The sequence below is a fragment of the Homo sapiens genome, chromosome 16 (assembly GCF_000001405.40).
Source record: "Homo sapiens chromosome 16, GRCh38.p14 Primary Assembly".
NCBI classification, from domain to species: Eukaryota; Metazoa; Chordata; class Mammalia; order Primates; family Hominidae; genus Homo; species Homo sapiens.
This window is the reverse complement of record NC_000016.10, coordinates 64,604,793-64,609,543: the sequence shown is the minus strand read 5'-3', so window position 1 is coordinate 64,609,543 and position 4,751 is coordinate 64,604,793.

The following is a 4,751-nucleotide window of genomic DNA, read 5'->3' as shown; positions in this document are numbered from 1 at the left end:
TTCTGTTCTGTAATTGACATAAGCATGCAATTTAAACTTTTGATTCCACAGCAGCCCATCAGAAGGGACAAGTAGGGATTGTGATGCTCATTTCTAAAATAATTTATAATTTATTTAATTTTTTAAAAAAACAAGTTATGCAGTTTGCTCAAGGTCACAAAGTCAATCTTGAAAAAATATATGTAGTGTCCCAGTTCCAAATACACAGGCTTTCTCTGGTGTAATGTGATGATACTGTCATATCCAACAATCATATGCAGCAGTTAATGTTCATTGTATTCTGACAATCTTAGTTCCACAGGTTTTTGTTGGATGTTAGATATTTTGAATTAAAAACTGTGGACACTATGAGCAACACTACCTACTTCAAAAAAGACTTTTATTTTTATTTTTCCTGGCTGGCAGAGAGAACCAGTTGACTATCTTGCTGCTGTTGTGAGTTAGTTTTGGCTTTATTCAGGCTGGTCTGTTTCCATTTTCTCTCTATTCTTGAGTAAGTTGTAGTCACCATGTTTTTTTTACATTTGCAGGGCTTTAATGCCAACCTTCCTCTTCTCATCAACTACTGAATGCTAACATTTCTGTTAAGTTCTTTGGTCTTCCAGATGCGGTTTATTCTGGGTTACCTGGTCTTGTCTTATGCTGGAACAGGTTTGGAATTGGCCAGTTCCTCAAGAAGATACTACACACACAATTTTTGCCTCACTTCTTTCCAGTTTTCTCCTATCAAAGATGTTGCAACTATATCCAGTTTATTTGGCATTTTGGAATTCTATTCTCTGTTTCCTCAGTAACCAAGACTGAGCTTCTCCTTGAGTTTTATTTCACTTTGCGGTAAACTGGTACGAAACCTCATGGAAAGGATGGGGTGAGTGTAGAGCTTACCCATGTATTTATTTTTTCACAACATTTCAGTCTCTCAAGGCCTGCCTGCTGTCATTGTTCTATCATGTGTTTAGGCAAGCTTGTTTTCATAATTAAGTTGTATGTAGTACATAGTTAATTCCAGTGTTAGCGTTATTTCAATTCAAATTGATTATTAATGGCCAGCTTGGAAATCCAGTTCTTCCTGATTGTATTCTCCTTGAAATTACTAATTCTGATCTCTTTATTTGAATGGCTTTTACTGTTTGGACTCATGATCTTTTCCTACCTCAATTTAGAAACCATGCTCATCAAAGTTTGAGATCAAATCTGTTTCACAGACCCTCCAAACCAACTCTGTGTGGATATCTTAACTATTAAACCCATCTCAATGTTAGTTTATTTCTAGATAAGGAAGTTATGACACAACATAACAAAACAGAGCAAAACCTAATCTTTCACATTATTTGAAAACATTTTTTGTAAAGTGTGTTATTAGGGAATTCTGCTTGCTGACTCACATTTTCAATATTATCTCGGCAATTTTAACATCTAACTTTTACTGCAGGTACAATAGCAAACTTCAACAATGAGCCTGGCCTTGTGTAATTGATTTGCATGTATTTCCAATTTTATCTGCGTATCAATGTTTTGAGTCTCACTATTAGCATTTTTTAGAGTCCCAGTTTCCAAAAGGCAAATTATAATTATGAATGTTAATAGTTTTAGAAACTAGATATCCATCATGTTTCCTATATAATCTTTGGCTTTTAAAAGCCCAAAGGCCGATTTTGTGGTCAATTGAGATATAATAGTCTCAGTCAAAATCTAGGTATAAATATTTCCTTGTATTCCTAAATTGTTATATAACTTTTGCTTTTTACATTATTTAGCATACTACCTATATCTTGGATTTGGGAACTTGATTCTTTTTTTGTCTAAGGTTTAGCAAAAATTTTGTGTAATAGATATAGTCCCCCAGATATTCTAAACATACTAGTATGTATATAAGACCTCTTCATTAATGGAGAATTTATACGAACATATTTTTCTGAGAAAGGCTGGGACTTAAAATTGGATGGATCTCTACTACACGCTGCAGAAGAAAATTGGAAGATTTGCTGAGGATTTTGATATTTCATTCAAATGAAGAATTTTCTGGTTTGTGGTGAAAGATTAAAAACCAGTGTCTTAACTCTGTCTGACTAAAATCTTACAATTAAAATTAGAAAAACAGTTTCTCATGTTCTAGTCAGGCTATCTGGTTTCAAATCTCAAATGCCTACAACACACACACACACACACACACACACACACACACACACACACACACACACAGTTATAGGTACTTGGTCACAGATGTGTTCATTATAAGAATATTTTAAAAATGCAGTTTAAAATGTGGATATGAACAAATGATCAATAGCAGGTAAATGGATGAATAAATCATGTTTCCTCAACAGGATGGATGAGTATCAACTAATAAAAATGTATACATAAATGACAAAAATTATGAAGTCTGTGATAACATGAAAAACTAATATAAAACAACAGAGTTAAACATACATCTATGTTGATTGCAGCTATGGATATATGGATTGTAGCTATGGATATACATGTATGCACCTGAAAAAGGTTGATTTTCCCAAATTAAAAATCACAAGTAGCTATTATAATAAGCTGATGGGATTAATTTGTTTTAATGTGTAATGTGTTTAATTTGTTTTAAAGTGTCTTGACCTCTTTAAGCTTTATTTTCTTCACATATATCTGAAAAAAATAATTATTACTTGCCTTTCTAGTTCTAGATGTTATTGTGAAGACGATATGAAGCAATGGGGATGTAAGAGTTTAGTGCATAATTAAGTGTTAGGAAGATATAAACTTGAAAAATAAAAGTGTTCAAAGAAGCTTCACTATTAAACTAATCAACCAACCAACATTTTGCCTTGTTATTTCCTTTACAGCTAACACATAGTCTTGATGTTTTACATCATTTATGTTTTGGGAGGTAACTTGAAATAGTTGTTTTGCTGGAATTATTTTTAGACTTAGGACAAGGATTTATAATGAATAATTTAATAAAATGAATACAGCTAATTTGTTATTTTCATTCTTTATTTAATTTTTCATTATTTCCTGCTAATTATTCTTAAATTTGGGACATCTGCACCAAGTTCTCATGAAGACTTTATGGAAATGCAGATTTCTGTGCCTCTTCCAAGTTGTATGGAATCAGAATCTCATGATCAAGCCTGATAATCTGTATTTGTGAGAAGTTCCTTGAGTAATTACTGGAGGTGTTTTCCTTTGTGAACCAACATAAAATGCAATATGCTGAGGTGTTGATATGCACAATAAAAAACTTAAAGTTTCTATCATCAAGGGTCTCACAGTGCAGGAGATGGACAATAATTTAATGAATACCACTAAGTGATGAGCCCATCAGAAAAGATGAGGAAGAGTGAACCAGGGAGAGAAGTAAGCGGTGACTGACATTCCTGACAGAGCAATCTCATGCTTTCTGATGAGCTTGATTGAGGGTGTTTGTAGGGATATGGAACATGGTGAACTTGGAAGGTAAGAAAAGTAGCTTTCCAATTGCCTCATTGTCTGGATTTTGGATTTCAGATTTTGGAAATCTGGATTTTGGATTTTCTGCTTAAGACCAAGAGGGCATTGAAGAAACAGAGGAACAGACTTTCTTGAATAAGAGAGAGAAATGGTTTTCTGATTAGGATCATTTATTGGGGGCAGGGGTTGTGAAGGGAACCAAGACATCCTTGGAAATAGAGCAAGAATAAAAATGTTGATGACTATTATGTCAGGCCCCCAAAGACAGGGTAAGACAACTCGCAGTTGCAGCTCAAGGAGAAAACAAATGCAATTATGTGTGCAGAGTGGTTCCTGTTTTTTTCTTATTATCCTTTATTTGTTACAGGGTCTGTAGTGATATTCTCTCTTTCACTTGTGAAATTGATATTTTGTGTATTCTCTCTCTTTTCTTGTCTGTTAGGCTACAGTGTTGTCAATTTTACTTATTTTTTTTCATAAAACAGAACATCAATTCATTGATTTTCTCTACTGTTTTCCCATTTTCAGTTTCATATATTTTTGCTTTTATCTTCATTATTTTTTTCCTACTGCTGCTTTGGGTTTATTTTGCTTCCCTTTTGCTGGGACCTTAAGGTGAGAGCCTAGATTTTGTTTTGAGGCTTCCTCTTTTCTAATGTATGCATTTGGTATAATAAATTTCCCTTGCAAGACAGTTTTAGCTGTGATCCTCAAGTTTTTATACACCGCGTTTTTATTTTCATTCAGTTCATTGTTCTTGTTTTTTACCGTTTCCCTTGGGACTTCCTCCTTTACCCATGGATTATTTTGAAGTGTGTTGTTAGTTTCAAAGGGTCCATGGATTATTTTGAAGTGTGTTGTTTAGTTTCCAAGGGTTTAGAGATGTTCCTCTCTTTCTATTATTTACTTCTAGTTTGATTTCACTGTGTGTCAAATATTAGTAACATTGTATGTCATTTCAGTTCTTTTAAACTTGTTGGATGGGGTTTTATGTAATAAAATATGGTCTACTCTAAAATTTCTTCCAAGAAAAGTTTAAAAAGATGTCTATTTTGCTGTTGGGTGGAGTGTTCTACGAATGGCAATTAGAGCCTATTGATTGATATTGTAGTTTAGTTATTCTGTATTCTTGCTAATTTTCTATCTAGTTGTTTTATTAATTATAAATATAGAAGTGTTGAAGTATCTCATTACACTAGTTAATTTGTTTATTTCTCCTTTAAGTTATGCCTGTGTTTTTTTTTAAATATATTGTAGCTCTGTTACCTGGCATATGCACATTTAGGACTGTTATATCTTCTTGAGACACTAAT